The following is a 19,829-nucleotide window of genomic DNA, read 5'->3' on the forward strand; positions in this document are numbered from 1 at the left end:
ATCAAAATTTATAGAATGCATGTTAAGCACTGTTTGGAAGAAAACTTATGACACAAGTGACCGTATTAGATAACAAATCTCAAAATCTTGCTCTAAGCTCCCTTCTTATGAAATTAAAAATAAAGATAGAGTCCATAAATCCAAAGTAAGCAAAAGGAAATAAGAGCAGAAAGCAATTTAAAAAATAGAAAAATTATTAAGAAATTAATAAAACCAAAATCATTTCTTCTATAATACTGATAAAATTAACAAACCTCTAGGCAAAATATCCAAGAAAGAAAAAGATTACATAAGTTAACAGCATCAATAATGAGAAAAATGCCATTAGTATAGATTTTGCATCTATTTGAAATGATGACATATTATAAACACAAAGTTATTCCAATAAATTTGACAATTTATATTAAACAAAAAAAATTTGAAAGGCATGAACTACCAAAGTTAACTCAAGAAGAGATAATCTGTATACCTCAATGTTTACTAAAAAATTAAAATTATAGTTACAAAACCATTTCACCAAGAAAACTCCAGGCACCAGTGACTTCACTGCTAATTTTTTTCAAATATTTAAGGGAGAAATAATCCCAATTCTGAAGAAGTTTATCTAGAAAAGAGGAGCAAACATGTTTAACTCGTTTTATAAGTTTAGCAATCACCTGATTAAAAAAAACAAAAAAAAATGTCATAAGAAAACTACATATCCATATTTCATAAACTAAGATATAAAACTTTCTAAAATTTTACCAAATGAAATCCAACTATACAGTACATTAAAAAACAAATATATGTGTATATATATATATTTGCTATATATATATATTTGCTATATATATATATTTGCTATATATATATATTTGCTATATATATATATTTGCTATATATATATATTTGCTATATATATAGGCTAGCAGAGTTCACCCAAGAAATGAAGGAGTGGTTTAACATTTGAATACAAATCGAGGGTTTTCAACATATTATAGACTAAAAACAAACAAACAAACAAGTAAACATATGACTGTCTCAATAGATTTAAAAAAAGCACTTGACAAAATCTAGTAAATGTTTTATTTTAAAAATGATCAATGTAGCAATATAAATTGATTTCCTTAAGTTGATAAAGGGCAACAACTTTATACCTAGAGCTAACATCATGTTCAGTGATAAAAGACTGAATGGCTTTTGGTATCTACATCTACATCATTTTATTATGTATATGTACATATATATGTATGTAATATATACATTTTCTACATTATTTTTATCACACAAATAATTTGAAATTCACTGTGTATTTTATAGTTATGATACAACTCATATTGGACTTACCACAGTGTATGTGGCCAAAAGTGGTAGTGGTAGTGGCTGCGGTATGGCTATGATAGACAATATAAGCCTATTGCTTGGTAATGTAATTTCATATATATTACGTTTAGTGATGTAGAAAAATTTAAAATATATATGTAAGAAAATAAATCTCGTTATCATTTTATACCCGTTGTGTAAATTTCTTTCAATAAGAATATCTGTCTAATAAAGGCATGATGTGACATGACTTACGTGATTTTAAAATATATGATTTTCATGTTACAGATACAGCACCATCTCCCTATTCCAGGCTCGCAGTGGGAAAGACGAGGCACTGGAATGTCACCAGGGAAGGGATAGCAGCTGTCTCTTCATCTTTCTTTCTCTCAGGGTTCACAAAACCCTGACTCCGCTTGCGTTGCACCACACTGTATAGATTGCATTTATTTGTTTCACTTGTAAATTCTCAACATATTCGACCTCAAATGTATCTTTAGATGCAGTATATTTTTCAAATACAATCACTGGTGATAACATTCTGTCGAATGGCATTTTTTAAAAATCTGAATAACCTTCCCTTACTTCCATAAACATAGTAAATATTTCTAGTATTCATTTCATACATTAGCTATTGGCTAAATTAGAATAAATAATGTTCTTTACTCTGACAAGAGAATTCAAAATGAATCTTTATGAAGTCAGATAGGATTTGGCAATTTTTTTTTTGGTTACCTATTTAACATGGCAGTAAAATCAAATTACCAAGGTCAATAAACTAATTTTTGATTTCCTCATATGGACCAATTATGCGACCTGTGTATCATACCTGTCACACCAAACTTATGCCACATAGACCATGTAGCAGACATGTCATAAAGAGTCAAAAGGAAAGTGTAACACAATAATCAAGTTTCTATAATGTTAATAAATGTTCATTTTTATGGAGAAAAAAATTAAGTTTTCAAATTTAAGTAAAGAAAAGAAAAAATAGACATTTCCACTTAAAAATTGTTGTGTTTGAATAGTTTTGGAAATATATAAACATAGCTTTAGTGAGGACCTTTAATTAATACAGCTCCTTGGTGTATTTTTGTTTTGGATTACAGATTATCAAATGGAGGTCTGAAAATATTCTGATGCATATATAATATTATCTTCTATTTTAAAAGTATAAAATACTACAATTTACTTTAAATCTCTACTCTGTCTTGAAGCTAAACATAAATGTGTCATTTTCAAATTATCATAATTGTTTTCTTTTCATCTTCCATTTACATCTGCAAAGAAAAACTTTATTTTTACCATATTAGACATTTCATTTTCCTAATTGAATGTTCTAGACTATTCCTTTATCCTTGGAATAAATAGAATTCCTTTTGACTTGCTTTGTGTAATTTTTACTCAGAACATACTTTAACTCAATTTGTCTTTTATAATGTTTTTCTTCTATTTATCTTCTGTTATTCATAGTTAAGATTCATAGTTTTCCATAGCTAAAACTATTAACATTCCAATCACTTCTGGTTTTTTTCCCTTAATTAAGAAAAAAGCTTAAGAAATTTATTCTCCACATTAATAAATATGTCTTCCATTATTTATATAGAACATTTTGCCATATTTTATATTAATTTTATTTAGACATTTTCAATTTGTTGCATTCATTATTCGTTTTTCCCTTGTCTCTCTTTTGTTCAAGTGAATTTTTTTTCCTACAAAGAGCCATTTATTTGTGCATCCTCCACCAGAATCTAAGCAGTTTTCTTCTAAAAGTGTCTTCAATTTCAGCATTTTTTTGTTTGCTAGACTGTTTGCTGTCTCTCTAAATACATACACACACAGACACACACAATTTATAAATGTATAGAGATCTTTTATAATAGGGTTTTTATGGCCTTTTACTTGACTCATTAATTAAATAGTGGTTATATACAACGTTTAGATCTAATTAAAAACTAAATTCCATGAACATAGCAGGTATTAAGTTTTGGGGCAGCGTATTCTACCCACTAAAATAGTCCTCTGTCAAGCTGAAACAAGTACACAAAAAGTTATGTTCTAAAAATGCCTTGCTAACAGAGTTTTGTTTTAGAGCTATTTTTATGTTTATTTCATCTTTGCATTTTTTTTCTTTGGAATTTTCTATTTGAATTTGCTACTACAAATTTTTGAGCACACTGCCACCTCAAGATGTCAGGTTGCTGCAGAAGTAATTGTGTTTTTTGCCATTACTTTTAGTGACAATTACTTTTGAACCAACCTAATACAATGTGGCCCTATCAGGAAGAATCTGCCACTTATTCATATTTGCAAACTTCTACTTGATTTAGAAACTCTGTGATTTGGCAATATACTCTGATTGAATTTAGGCAAGAATAACACTACTTGGTTGTCTATTTCTTATAGAGCCAAATCTTTTAAACCCATGTGGTGACTATGGGGATGGAAGGGCACTAGATATTGCAACATCTTGCTTTCTCTCAGTATAGCAGGCTTCTGTGTTTGCTACCATTTTTTTTTTCTCCTCTTCATCTAGTTAGTTAATCATGTGTTTGGTGGACATTTCTCAATATTCTGACAAAATAAGTTTTGTCTCGTCTTTTGCTCTATAGGTATTTATACTAATGTACTATTTATTTCTTAAACAAAATCAATGCAAATTTGCAACTTAAAATATTTATTTATTACCTCACAGAAGTGAAGATAGAACCAGATGGACTTGATTTATTTGCCCAAAAGGCTAAAATCAAAGTCAGCTCTCCTGGGCTCTTTTTTGGAGACTATCAGGTAGAATCCACTTACAAGATCATTTGAATTGTTGGCAAAATTAAGTTTTGTGTATTTGTAAGTCTAAGATTCCCATATACTTACTGTCAGCTGGTAATCTCTCTGCTCCTTAATGACACCTGCATTTCTTCTGAAGTGGCTCCTCCATTGTCAAACCAACAGAGCATTCAGTCTTTCTTATATTTTGAATCCTTCTGTTTGCCCCTCTGCCTCTTCTCTTCTGCTTCTAGCTGGAGGAAGTTCTCTGCTTTCAAGGGTACATGGGATTAGATGGGGCCCACCTGGGCAAACCAGGATACTGTCCCTATTTTAAGGTATACATTCTTAATTACATCTGAAAAGTCACTGTGCCATGTAAGAAAATATATTCACTGGTTCCATAAATGTGAATGAAGTGAAAAAATAAAATCATGTATCATCAGGCTTTGAGGTAAGACAATTCTAGATTCCAAGCCTAGCTCAATTCTATATACTGTGTAATATTAATTGTATTTTCTGGGCATGGTGGTATGCATATGTAGTCCCAGCTTCTCAGGAGGCTGAGGCAGGAGAATCCCTGGAACCCAGGAGTTAGAGGATGCAGTGAGCTATGATTGCACCACTGCACTCCAGCCTGGGTGACAGCACCATACTTGGTCTCTAAATTAAAAAGTGAAATATTTACTGTATTATAAAATATCTTATACACTTTTTTCCTTAGGATCTTCTTTATGTAATGTTGCAGTTTTGCAGTTATTTCAATTCCAGTGTTTTTTCCTTAATTTTAATATACCTATAGGTAAAGCATTGTGCAGAAATATCTATAAATTTTCTAGATAATGGTGATATGGTTTGGCATGTCCCCACCCAAATCTCATCTTGAATTGTAGTTCCCCTAATCTTCACATGACATGGGAAAGACACAGTGGGAGGTAATTGAATCATGGGGGCTTTTACGGTCATGCTATTCTGAAAGTGAGTGAGTTCTCATGATATCTGATGGTTTCATAAGGGGCTTTCGCTGCATTGCTTGACACTTCTCTCTCCTGCCTCCTTGTGAAGAAAGATGTGTTTGCTTCCCCTTCCACCATGATGTAAGTTTCCTGAGGCTTCCCCAGCCATGTGGAACTGGGAGTCAGTTAAACCTCTTTCCTTTATAAATTACCCGACCTCACGTATCTTTTCATACCAGTGAGAGAATGGACTAATACATGTGGCTATCAAAGCTGATTATTGCATTTTTTTTCCTTTTAGTGATGTGGCCTGTGGCCCTTTTCCCTTTTTGTTAAAAAACTATTAATATTGGTATGAATTTGTCAGTAGCTTTTAACTATAGATATATAATTTTGTTTTTCAAAAAATTTATGAGACTCAGCAAGACTACAAGTTGTTTTGAAAAATAGAAGCTAGTAATTAAAAATGATATCTACAAGTGAACAAAGAACAACTTTCTTTCATAAACCTGACAATCATATGGATAAAATAACAGTTTTCTTATTAATTGCTTTTCAAAGTTACTTGAAGAAAGTCAAGAAGAGCAAAACTTTCATATTGAAGTTTAAGCTAAAATATTTAATTTTAAAATCTGAAGTTAGTATTTCTAAAGTAACAGAATACTTATTAAACAAAAATGGAATGAAAACAATTTGACTTACTTGAACATTTACGAAACAGCAGTCTGTATAAACCTTTGAAAGAAAAATTTTAAAAGAAACACTAAATTTAAAATATTATAGTACAAATGACAGATATGTGGGTAATAGTTGTAATATTAAAAGGGCATTTAGGAATCATGAAAAAAATTCAATTTTACCCATTGAAAATAGGAAAAGGACATAAAAAGACAGGTCAAAGAACAGGAATTATAAATAGATAAAAACCATGATAGAAAATTTTCAAAAATATTGGTAATCACAAATATGAAAAATAAAAAAAACACTAGTATAACACTTTATACCCATCATATTGCCAAACATGGGACAGATGATATTTATTCCTTCCAGGGACTGAATAAAAATTTGTGCTTACATACTTTGTTAAAAATGTGAATCATTCAATAATTTTAGAAAGCAATCTGATAACATCTGTTATAAGATATTGATTGATAGATATAAACTTCATAAGTTCTATAATGACACAGTATATATATTTGTATATTTGTACATAAGAGAATACTTGTATTTTTATAGTATTTTTATAACAGAAAAAACCCAAAATATAAATAATGTGAATGCTTGTTAATAAAAACCATAGTTAAAACGACATAAAACTATACAAAACGTAGGATATTATGCATTCAGTAATAATGTTTGATTAGTGTATTATGGAGACTTATATGGTAATATTTCCATAAAGTTTTAAAAAGTAAGAAAAACAAGCTACAGACAAGCAGATAATACTGTTTCCTGTCATTGGATACAAATTCAATACTTTAGATGAGTTTATATAACATTTTTGCCAAAGTATTTATAGTTGAAGAGGATCATGGTTTTTAGATTTTATTTCTACAAATTTGTGAACTGGTTTGCATGGGAGGGTGAGAAAAAGACTAGAAATATAACATCTATATGCAATTCCTCGAGAAAGTGTTATAAAAACAAGATCAATATGTTACACAAACATTGCCAAGAAGGGGAAAGGTCAGAATAACAATATTTTGTTCGACTGCTTTTATGATATGATAGTAAACAGAAATAAGAAGGTCTTAGGTTCTTTACTCTTTATCTAGAGTTCTTTCAAGCAAAATGAGTTTCTCCTTTTCTATTGGCCTTTATAATTCTTTCAAGTTTTCTAGCAGGTACAAACTTCAACATGAGCAGAAATATAATCAGATTTTCTAGCTTCTGACAAATTAGCAAAGAAACAGTTTAGGGCCCCTATTGTATTTTGCTAGAAATACTATTTGAAATGTAAAATATCTAAAAGTTAATAAAACTTCTTTATACAACTGTGTAATAAATAAGGATAATGCTGCAAAAATTAGAAGAAGAATTCTACTTTTCTCTGTTGACAAGAATGACAGAAAAGTTAAGAATAAATGAGACCAACCCAAAACCTAAAATAAAAATATAAAAAGCAGGGTCAGTTTTCTCTAGTGAAGCAATAAACAATGTTTGAAATAAGATCTCTTTTAATTTATCTTTTTTTCCCTCAAAAAATGGTGGAGAGGAAGCTTTGAGAGTGATATGATTTGGTTGTGTCCCCACCTAAATCTCATCTTTAATTGTAGCTCCCATAATCCCACATCTTGTGGGAGGAACCCAGTGGGTGATAATTGAATCATGGGGGCAATTTTCCCCCATACTCTTCTTATGGTGGGGAATAAGCCTCATTAGATCTGATTTTATAGGGGGTTTCCCCTTTTGATTCACTCTCATTTCTCTTGTCTGCCACCATGTAAGAGGTGCCTTTTGCCTTCCAGCATGAGTGTGAAGCCTCCTCAGCCATGTGGAACTTTAATTTTTTTCTTTATAAATTACCCAGCCCCAGGTGTGTCTTTATCAGCAGAGTAAAAACAGACTAATATAGTATATTGGTACTGGAAGTAGGATGCTGCCGTGAAGATTCCTGAAAATGTGGAAGTGACTTTGGAACTGGATAACAGGCAGAGATTGGAACAGTTTGAGGAACTCAGAAGACAGAAAAATGTGGGAAAGTTTGGAACTTCCTAGAGACTTGCTGAATGGCTTTGCCCGAAATGCTGATAATGTTATGAACAATGGAATCCAGACTGAGATGATTTCAGATAAAGATAAGGAACTTGTTGGGAACTGGAGTAAGGGTGACTCTTTCAGTGTTTTTGCAAAGAGACTGGTGGCATTTTTCCTGACCCTAGAGATATGAGGAACTTTGAACTTGTGGGAGATGATTTAGAGTACCTGGCAGAAGAAATTTCTAAGCAGCAAAGCATTCAAGATATGACTTGGATGCTGTTAAAAGCATTCAGTTTTAAAAGGGAAACAGAGCATAAAACTTCAAAAAATTTGCAGCCTGACAATTGATAGAAAAGAAAACATATTTTCTGAGGAGAAATACAAGCTGGCTGCCGAAATTGGCATAAGTAATGAGGGGCCAAATGTTAATCACCAAAACAATGGGGAAAATATCTCCAGGGCATGTCAGAGACCTTGGCAGCAGCCCATCCCATCATCACAAGCCTGGAGCCTAGAAGAAAAAAATGGTTTCATGGGCAGGGTCCAGGGCCCCCTTCTATGTACAGCCTAGGGACTTAGTGCCCTGCATCCCCCGACTCTAGTCATGGCTAAAAAGGGCCAAGGCACAGCTTGGACCATTGCTTCAGAGGGTGCAAGCCCCAAGCCTTGGCAATTTCCATGTGGTGTTAAGCCTGTAGGTGCACAGAAGTCAAGAATTGAGGTTTGGAAATCTCCACCTAGATTTCAGAGGATGTATGGAAATATACAGGCAAAGGTATGCTGCAGGGGTGGAGCCCTCTTGAAGAACCTCTGTTAGGGCAGTGCAGAAGGGAAATGTGGGGTTGAAGTCCCCACACAGAGTCCCCACTAGGGCAGTGCCTAGTGGTGCTGTGAGAAAAGGGCCACCATCCTCCGGACCCCAGAATGGTAGATCCACCAACAGCTTGCACCATGCACCTGGAAAAGCCACAGTAACTCAATACCAGACTGTGAAGTAGGACAAAAGGGGGTCTGTACCCTGCAAAGCAACAGGGGCAAAGCTGCCCAAGGCCATGGGAACCCACCCTCTTGCATCAGCATGATCTGGAGGTGAGCTATGAAGTCAAAGGAAATGATTTTGTCATTTTAAGATTTGATTGCCCTCCTGGATTTTGAACTTTCATGGGGCCTGTAGACCCTTTGTTTTGGCCAATTTCTCAGATTTTTAATGGCGTATTTACCCAATTCTTGTACCCCCATTGCATCTAGGAAGTCACTAACTTGCTTTTGATTTTATGGCTCATAACGAAGGGAATTGCTTTGTCTCAGATGAGACTTTGGACTGAAGACTTTTGAGTTAATGCTGAAATGAGTTAAGACTTTGTGGGACTGTTGGGAAGGTATGATAGGTTTTGAAATATGAGGACATGAGATTTGTGAGGGGCTAGGGGCAGAATGATATGGTTTGGCTGTGTCCCCACCAAAATATCATCTTGAATTGTAGCTCCCATAATTCCCATGTGTTGTGGAAGGAACCTGGTGAGAGAAAAATGAATCATGGGGGTGGTTTCCCTCCATACTGTTCTCATGGTAGTGAATAAGTCTCATGAGATCTGATTTTATAAGGGGTTTCCTCTTTTGCTTGGCTCTCATTCTGTTTACTCTGCTGCCATGTAAGATGTGCCATTCACCTTCTGCCATGATTATGAGGTCTCTGTATCCACATGGAGCTGTGAGCCCTTTAAACCTCTTTTTCTTTATAAATTACCCAGTCTTGGGTATTTCTTTATAAGCAGCATGAAAACAGAAAAATACAGACAGCATGCCTCATCCACTAAGAAATTATAATATAGTATGTAGAGATTCACGCTGTGAACTATATCTAAGAAGCAACAGAGGAGTTCACATAAAACAAACATACCTTCAAGTATAGGGAAAAATAAAGCGGGTAGCAGCCCACGTGGTGGACCTGGCAAAAAAACTGTGAGTGAATACTCAGTGCATCAGTGGGGGAGAGAGTGTTTTTGAGATGCACATTTCCCCTGAAGAGCCAGGTGATCCAGGCTATGGGAGAGCTCCTTGACCCTAATCAAGCCCTTAATCTTGGGAAGCAGTAAAGAAACTGAGAAGGAATGGCACCGTGACATGCCCTGCAGACACTTGCAGACCTGGGCACTGATAAAAGGAAGCCATTTCTAACCCTAACTCACAGGGGCCTGCATGGGAACATGCCAGTCAGAATGGGCAGCAGTCACATGTTTGAAGAATCTCAGGATGGGGATTTGTGATCTACTCTAAAGCAAAGGAGGAGGAGCCATCACTAAGAGAGGAGTGTGGTGTTAGCTCAAGCCATGGGCGCTGGATTTGGATAGCCCCACTTCATGGGATTAGGCCAGGGAAGGTTTAGCCTGAGAACCACAGTTTTGACTTAGGCAGCAAGTTTTATAGCCTGGGTGGTTTTGCGGTCTGAAGAAAAACTGCTTATGACTTAGCCAACTGTTCCAACTTGCAGCCAGCACTGGGCCTTGGGAGGGAACCCAATCAGGTCAGAAGCATGAGTGTGAAGTGGATTCCACCACCACCTGCTAGGCTGTGGAGCCTGGACTATTATGATGGGTCTTTGGTATGGCAGCAGTTGCACTGCTTCTGCCTGGAGCATTGCTCTAGGGGCCTGAGAACTACCATCTGACTCCTGTTGAGACCAGTGCTTGTACAATCACCCATCACAACTCTACCAAGCTTCACCTCTGCTACCTCCCACCTTGGAGGAGGAGCACCAGACTGGGATCACTGAGAGTTCCATGGCCCAACCCATTGCCTGGGACAGCTGAGTATCTCTTGGTTAATAAAAGTTGAGCACCACTTACTGGCACCCAATTGGTACATTGCTACTATAACTGCCATTTGACAAAACCACCACACTAATGCTCTGTATCACCAGGGAGATCATACAGAGTTTACACCACTGAAAGGAGACAGAAGTCAGGAATGAGAAATCATCAAGAAAATAGATATCTTTTTTAAAAAAAGCCAAGAAGACTTCTGAAAATAAAAAAAAAATTATTGAGGAATGACAAAATACAGTGGAAAGCTTCAGCAATCAACTAGACCAAGTAGAGGAAGGAATCTCTGAATTTGAAGACAAGTCAGAAAAAATTCATTTAGACAAACGTTAATCCAGTCAGACAAAAATAAAGAAAAAATATTTTTTAAAAATATGAACATAGCCATCAAGTATGGAACTACATAAAATGACTGAACTTATAAATCATAGGTATTTAAGAGGAAGTGGAAAAAACAAAAAGTATAGAACACCTATTTGAGGAAATAATTGAGGAAATCTTCCTTAGTTTAGCAAGAGATTTAGACACCCAGATACAAGAGGCTGGCAGACTCCAATAAATACATCACAAGAAGGGCCATACCACATCACACAGTCATAAGACTGTCTAAAGTCAACGTGAAGGAAACATCCTGAAATTAACAATGGAAAAGCTTGTAGTCACCTCTAAACGAAACCCCATCAGACTAACAGTGGAGAATCTCAGCATAAACCTTACAAGCAAGGATAGATTGGGATTCTATTTTCAAAATGCTTAATGACAAAAAACTGCCAACCAGGAATTCTATTTTCTATCAGAACAAGCTTTATAAATTAAGATGAAATAAAGTATTTCCTAGAAAAGCAAATGCTTTTCATCACCTCTAGACTGGCCCTACAAGAAATGCTCAAAGGAGATTTATATACGGAAATAAAACATCAATATTCACTATCATAAAAACACATGAAAGTATAAAACTCGCAGGTGTTATAAAACAAATATGCAAAAGAGGAAAAGAAATAAATAATATGAAGAGAGCAGGATACCACCAAATCACAAATACAAAAAAAAAAAAGAAACAGAATTTTCAATACTAGATGAAAAATAACATTATGATAGGAATAAAACCTCACATACCAATATTGACCTTGAATGTAAATGAATTAAATGCCTCACTTAAAAGAATTAGAATAGTGGAATATGGATCAAAAAATATGAACCAACTATATGCTGCTTTCAAAAAGCGCCCCTTACTGGTAAAGACACATAGACGGAAGGTAAAGGGGTGTAAAATATATTTACACAAATGAAAAGCAAAAGTGAGCAGAAGTAGCTATATTATACCATAAAATATACTTTAAATCAAGAACAATAGAAAAGACAAAGAAGGTCATTATATAATGCTAAAATGATCACTTCAACAAGAAGATATGACAATTCTAAATATATCTGTCCCAATACTGAAGCAACTAGATTATAAATAAGATTTTACTATACCTAAAGAAAAACATACACAACAATACAATAATATTGGGGGACTTCAACACCTCACTTACAACACTAAACAGATCATCAACACAGAAAATCAGTGAAGAAACGCTAAACTTAAATTGGACTTTAGATTAAATAGACCTAGCAGATATTTAGAGTACATTCTACCCAACAACCACAGAATATACATCCTTAGAATCAGCATATAAAACATTCTCCAAAATAGAAGATATGTTAAGCCACAAAACAAGCCACAGTGAATTTTTTAAAATCGAATTCATACCACGTATCTTCTTGGAGCACATCAGAATAACCAGAATTCAATGCCAAGAGAAACTTTCGAAACTTTACAAATACATGAAAATTAAGTAACGTGCTTCTGAATGATCTTTAAGTCAAAGAAGAAATTGTTAGAAATGTTTTAAAAATTGAAACAAACAAAAATGGAGACACAACATATTACAACCCATGGGATACAGCAAAAGCAGTGCTAAGATGGAAGTGTACAGTGTTAAATATCTTCATCAAAGAATAGAACAACTGCAGATTAACAACCTGACAGCACACCTCAAAGAGCTAGGAAAATAAGAAGAAACCAAACCCAAAGCCAGAAGAATAAAAGACATAACAAAATCACAGCAGAACTAAATGAGATTGAGAACAACAACAATAAAAAGATATAAAGAATCAACAAAAGGAAGAATTGGTTCTTTGAAATGATAAATTGATATACCGCTAGCTAGATTAATTAAGCAAAAAAGACAAGATTCAAATAAGCACAATTGGAAATAATAAATGAGATTATAACTGATACCACAGAAATATAAAAGTTCATCAGAGTCTACTATAAAAATTTCTGTGTGCACAATCTAGAAAACCTAGAGAAAATGGATAAATTCCTGAAAACATACAACCTCCCAATATTAGCAAGGAAGAAATAGAAATCCTGAATTAATAAATAATGAGTTATGAAATTGAATTAATAACAAAAAATCTTCCAACAACGACAACAATAACAAAACCTAGGACTAGATGAATTTGCAGCAAAATTCTGCACAAGTCAGATTCACAGCCAAAGTTTACCAGATATACAAAGAAGAACAGGCACAATTCCTACTTAAACTCCTCCAGAAAATTAAGAAGGAGGAATCCTCTTAACTCATTCTGTGAAGCCATTATCACCCTGACGCCAAAGCCAGACTAGAACACAACAAAAAAAGAAAACCACAGGCTAATATCGCTGGTGAAAATACATGCAAAAATGCTCAAGAAAATATTGGCAAACCAAATCCAACAGTACATAAAGAAGATAATACACCATAGTCAGTTGGATTTTATTCCAAGGTCTCAAAGATGCTTAAATATACCATAATCAATACATGTGATTCACCACATAAACAGAATTAAAAACTAAAAGCATACTATCATCTCAATAGATTTAGAAAAAGCATTTGACAAAATTCAACATCACTTTATGATAAAAACCCTCAACTAACCCAGAGTTGAAGGAACATACCTCAAAATAATAAGAGCCGTTTATAACAAACCCACAACCAATATCCTACTGAACAGAGAAAAGTTGAAAGCCTTCATTCTAAAACCTAGAACAAGAAAAGGATGCCTTCTTTTACCACTTGTATTCAGCAGAGTACTGGAAGGCCTAGACAGAACAATCAGAAAGAAAATAAATAAAACAATCCAAACTGGAAAAGAGAAAGCAAATAATCTTTGTTTGCTGATGATATGATCTTATACCTAGGAAACCCGAAAGATTCCTTCAAAAGACTCCTATCTTTGATAAAAGACTTCAGTAAAGTTTCAGCATACAAAATCAGTGTACAAAAATCAGTAGAATGTTCATACCAATAACAATCAAACTGAGAGCCAAAGCAAGAAGTTAATATAATTTGGAATTAAGGATACATTTAATCAAGGAGGTAGACAATCTCTACAAGGAAAACTACAAAACACTGATGAAGAGATTGTAGATGGGCCAGATGCAGTGGCTTATGCCCGTAATCCCAGCATTTTGGGAGGCCAAGACAGGTGGATCACTTGAGGTCGGGAGTTAAGATAGCCTGACAAACATGGTGAAACCCTGTCTCTACTAAAAATATAAAAATTATCCTGGCATGGTGGTGGGCACCTGTAATCCCAGCTACAGGAGAATCACTTCAACTTGGGAGGAGGAGGCTGCAGTGAGCCATGATCGCACCATTGCACTACATCCTGGGTGACAGAGTGAGATTTAAAAAAAAAAAAAGAAAAAGAAAGAAAGAGAGAAAGGAAGGAAGGGAGGAAGGAAGGAAGGAATTGTTGATGACACAAACAAATGGAAAATCATCTTGTGCTCCTGGATAAGAAGAATCATTATCATTTAAATGACTATACCACCACAATCTACAGATTCAATGCAATTCCTATCTAAATATCAACATTATTTTTCACAAAATTAGGAAAAAAATCTAAAATTCATATGGAACCAAAAAGAGCCTGAGTAGCCAAAGCAATCTTAACCTAAAAAAAATTAATAGCTAGAGGCAGTGTATTATCTGACTTCAAATTATATGACAAGGCACACATAAAGACTGGGTGTGGTGAATCATGTCTGAAATCCTAGCACTTTGGGAGGCCAAGGAAGGAGGATCGTTTGAAGCCAGGAGTTCAAGACAAGCCTGGGTAACATAGCAAGATCCCATTTCTACAAAAAATGAAAAAATTACCTGAGTGTGGTGTGTGCCAGTAGTCATAGCTACTTGGAAGGCTAAGGGAGGTTCACTTGAGCCCAGTTGTTTGAGGCTTCAGTGAGCTATGATTGTACCACTGCACTCAAGCCTGTGTGATATTGTGAGACCCTGTCCCAAACGAACAAACAAAAAGATGCATAGATCAATGGAACTGAATAGAGACCCCAGAAATAAAGCCGCATACTTACAGTCAACCAATGTTTAACAAAGTCAACAGAAACATACACTGGGGAAAGGATACCCTTTCAATAAATGGTATACGGAAAATGGAATAGAAATATGCGGAAGAATGAAACTGAGTCCCATATCTCTTACCATATACATAAATCAACTCAAGCTGGAATAAAGACTTAAACAGAAGCCCTGAAAACATAAAAGTACTAGAAGAAAATCTAGGGAGAAAACAACTTTCTGGACATTGACCTAAGCAACAGATTCATGACTAAGACCTCAAAAGCAAATGAAACAAAAACAAAAAGTAGACAAGTGAGACTGAATTAAACTAAAACGCTAACGCACAGCAAATAAATAATCAACAAAATGGGCAGACTACCTGCAGAATTGGAGAAAATATTTGCAAACTAAGCTTCAGATAAGGGACTAATACCCAGAATATACAAGGAATTTAAAAACTCAACGATAACAACAAAAAACAAATAACCCTATTAAAAAGTGGACAACGGACATGACCAGACATTTTTCGAAAGAATATACACAAATAGCCAAGAAACATATGAAAAATGCTCAACATCACATTAATCAGAGGATTGCAAATCGAACCCACAGTGATATATTTTATTATCTTACACCAGTCAGAATGGCTATTATTAAAAAGTAAAAAAAAAAAAAAGTATGTTGGTGAGGATACAGAGAAATGGAAATGCTTATATACTGTTGGTGTGAAGTTAAATTAATACAACCTCTATGGAAACAATATGGAGATTTCTCAAGGACTAAAAACAGAACTAACATTCCATCCATCAATCCCACTACTATGCATCTACCCAAAGGAAAATAAATCACTGTAATAAAAAGATACTTGCATTTGTATGTTTATCACAGCAGTATTCACAATAACAAAGACATGTAATCAACCTAAGTGTCCATCAAAGGATGAAAAGATAATAAAAATGTGGTATTATATACAATGGACTATAATTCAGCTATATAAAATAATGATATCATTTCTTTTTCAGCAACATGGATGGAACTAGAGGCTGTTATCTTAAGTGAATTAACCCAGAAACAAAATCAAATGCCATTTATATGTTCCCACTTATAAATGGGAGCAAAACAATATGTACTCATGAACAGAGAGTATGGAATAACAGACATGAGAGATTCACAAGGGTCAGAAATTGGGAGGGGATTGGGAATAAGAAATTACTTAATAGGTACAAAGTACATTTTTAAGGTGATGATTACACTAAAACCCTAGACTTCCCCAGGAAGCAATGTATCCATGTAACAATTGCACTTGTACCTCTTAAATTTATACAAATAAAAAATTACATTTTTAACCAAACTTTTTTTTTAACTTATAAAACACACTATTGCCAAAGTTGGGGACAAAACTTGGTATGACTTTTCTGGAGGAAATATTTGCAATATATGTAAAACTCAAAATCATTAACTGTCAGTTTCATTGCTAGAAATTTAGCATTAGACAATAAATTGTCAAATAAGTGAGATAAGATTTACTTACAAAAATACTCATAACATTATAATTGATTTATGATTTTTAAAAATCTTACAAATGTGATAACACATAATTATGATTCTTCTATAAAAGGAGTATTAAAAGTCATTTTAGAAAACGTCTAAACAGTATGGATAAATTTATAAGACAATGCAAAATTCAGATAACTATTTTATTTCTGCCCATGTGTATAAGCATAGTATAAAACTAAAAAATGTATTGTGATCCACGCTTGTATTCAAGTAGAGGAAATATCTTTCTCTTGCTTCTAAAATAATTTATATATTTTTCAAAGAATATATATTACTGATGAAATTATGAAAATACTATTTGTACAAAATAAAAATTCAGATTTGATATCTCAAATCAAAATTCCTTGCATCAAAAGTCTGTTTTGTGTGATGTTTTCTCCTTGTCCTGTGATTTCTTCTTCCTGATGTTTAAAATGGCTATGGCTAGCATTTCCCTACCTTTGATAAGCTTTTCCTTTTGGACCAGCCAAGGTATAGTGAATAATTTTTTTCAGTCTATCTCACATTAAAGTATAAGATTTCCTTGTGGGATTTAAAAAGCCACAAAAGTTTAAAAACATAAGAATTACTTCCACATTAAAAGATGAAACACAGCAGGATAGTACTGTAGGCCCAGGGAATGTCTTAGTCATTGAATTGAAATGGAATACTCCCCACAAGTGATTTTTAAAATGTCATAATCTTTCCAATATGAGGAACTGAACAGGCTTAGGGAGATCAAGGTAAAAACTAGTTTGGAGGCTAAAAGGTGCAATCATCACAATTTGAACTTTTAATCTGAAAGACCTTCAGTTTCCTCTCCCATTGGCTTCCACAGGATAGCTTAACTATAGGATTCACTTAATTCCAGCTCAATTATTTGAAGGTAGCTTGAAAGCACTATAAAGTAAAAGGGATCATTAGAGAAGCAAAGAGATTTAGGCATTCAAAATCTTCCAATGCCAGCATCACAGATTGTAACTTTTCAGTACCTTTATGCTTCAAATATAAGCAAAGGCCTCTTTAGATTATTGCCAATAAAGACATAAGTGTTAAAATCTGCTAGATACTTAGAGGATTGCTACAACTGATGGGATGTGGATAAGGCTGAGTAGACAGATGTATGAAATTATAGTGAATCTTTGTGATCTTTGCAACGATGGTGTGCAACTGCTATAACTGTGACCCAGAATCCTTTAATTAGAACTGTAAACTTAGTAAGTCAAATGAAACAATGAAAAAAAAAACCTAGAAGCTTTTCAGGGGACATAGATTAAGGATCAATGTGCAAGTCTCAGAAAAAAAACAATAGGCTGTAATGACTGACAGGGATGCCCTGCTTCAAAGAATGGGTAAAAGAGCTCCCTCAAAAGCATAGAAACTGCAGACAAAGACAGAAAGGGATTTCTCCAAATTGTCAGGGAAATGGAGTGTCAGGCACACTGTTAAAACTTGGGAAAATTAGCAAAGCACATCTGTCTGGTTAAGATGAAGTTCTGTGCTTCAAAATTAAGAGATTGTGCCAATGATGAAAGATGAAATATGGAAAATGCCATTTGGACAAAAGGAAAAATAGATTATAGAGAATATTTGTTTCAAATAAAAATGCTAATATTTATGGTATCACCTTAATGATTTTTATAAAAATTAATTAAAATTCATTTTCTAATTTTAGGGAGGCAGATACACTGTGTAATTTGAATTTCCATATATCTTAGAGAATACACAGTAGTAGAACATGGACCCTGTGCATGTAATTCTATTTAAGAATATATACCCTATTCATTCCAGGAATAAACCCACAAAATAAGACAATATGAAAAGTTTATTTTTATATACTCTTTTAAGTTCTGCATAAGTATTCTTTATTCCTCATAACAAACCTATTAGATAACTATTACTGATTTCCCTGTTTTATAAATTAGCAACATAAGCCAAGAGACATTAACTAACTGACCTGATGTTATGCATGTAGTTAAGTGAGAGAGTCAGAGTGAAACCCAGGTAGTATAATTTTCACTGCCCACATGCTGAATCAATATGCTAGAGGCCCTCCCCTGAGAAGACATATTAAAGCCCATCTTCACTCTGCGGGAATCAGTATTCACCATCATCATAACTTGGTCATGAGAACAGAAACTGCATTCTTGACAACTGCAGAACTTCTGCTTTTGTTACATGGCTGTAACATGCAGATGTCATTTTTTACAATATCCAATGACTATATTGCGTACACAATGTTTCTATCTACACAGTAGCACATACAAGCACACACACGCACACGCACATACATACATGCACAATGTCCTTACCTATTATTTTTCCATGCAGTTCTTTCATCTAGTTCAGTGGCTCACTGGTTCTCAGAGCACATAAGAAATATATGGAAGACTGTTATAAAATGCAGATTTATTCCCAGAATCTCAGAGTCAGTAAGTGTGAGGTAGACTTAAGAATCTGCACTTCCCACAAGTTTCCAGATAATGGCAATGCTGCTGGTGTAGGTATTACACTGACCAGCGCTCTAGCAGAAAAACTCACCAAAGCTTATCTTTCTCCAAGAACATTCATGATTTTCTCATTAGTTCTGATTTTCCATCCCTGTGAATTCTCACTATCTGAAACTGTCCCTTTTAATTTACTGAGAGAGTCACTGAAACCAAGAACATTGATAATCTCATGATTTTGGCCATGTTAAATACTAATTGCTTCACGTACTATTTGGCTTAAGCCAGAAATAACAAGCATGAATTCCATTGTCTGACAAATGCTACTTAGGTTTGGTTTCAGTGACTTTCTCAGTAAATTAAAAAGACAGTTTTGTTGGCTGCTTAAAAATTTTAAGTGAGTTTATGATGCCTCTAATATCATGAGATTATCAATGTTCTTGATATGTTTTTATGAAGGGCACATTCCTTTCCTGACTATTATCTTTTAAATCCATGTGCTATGTATTTTATACATTTTATAGTCATGTAATAGTCACTCTTTCTTTTTGCCTTTATTTGTGCCATATTATGTCTTTACCTTTGTTTGCTCATTATATACTTTTGAGGAAAAAAACCTATAAAGAAGCAGCCAACAACAACAAAAAAGGACAGATGGGAAGATGAAAGATAATATGATCCACAATCCATTAAATACTAAGTGCATGATATATATACAACAGTAGTTCCCACAGCACATAAGATACACATGGAGGACTTTGTTATAAAACACAGATTTATACCCAGAATCTCAGATTCTGGAGAGGTACATATTTGTTAACACAAAAAGTATAACATTGGGGTTATCTGACACTACGCATACTTGAAAATTTAATAGTAAGAGCGAAAAAAAGGAACTGTGGGAGTTAGTTT

At 34.2% G+C, this 19,829-nt stretch overlaps 1 long non-coding RNA gene across 1 annotated transcript; it reads right to left on the bottom strand.

Annotated features, from left to right (window-relative positions):
• Nucleotides 1-909: 909 nt before the first annotated feature.
• LOC107986272 (uncharacterized) lies at nt 910-18,982 on the bottom strand. Its single transcript, XR_001741655.1, has 3 exons — nt 18,783-18,982; nt 5,724-5,756; nt 910-4,333 (listed from the first exon to the last, which is right to left on the bottom strand). It is a non-coding gene; the product is annotated as an uncharacterized LOC107986272 (long non-coding RNA).
• Nucleotides 18,983-19,829: the final 847 nt, after the last annotated feature.

The sequence above is a fragment of the Homo sapiens genome, chromosome 4, assembly GCF_000001405.40.
Source record: "Homo sapiens chromosome 4, GRCh38.p14 Primary Assembly".
Classification (NCBI taxonomy): domain Eukaryota; kingdom Metazoa; phylum Chordata; class Mammalia; order Primates; family Hominidae; genus Homo; species Homo sapiens.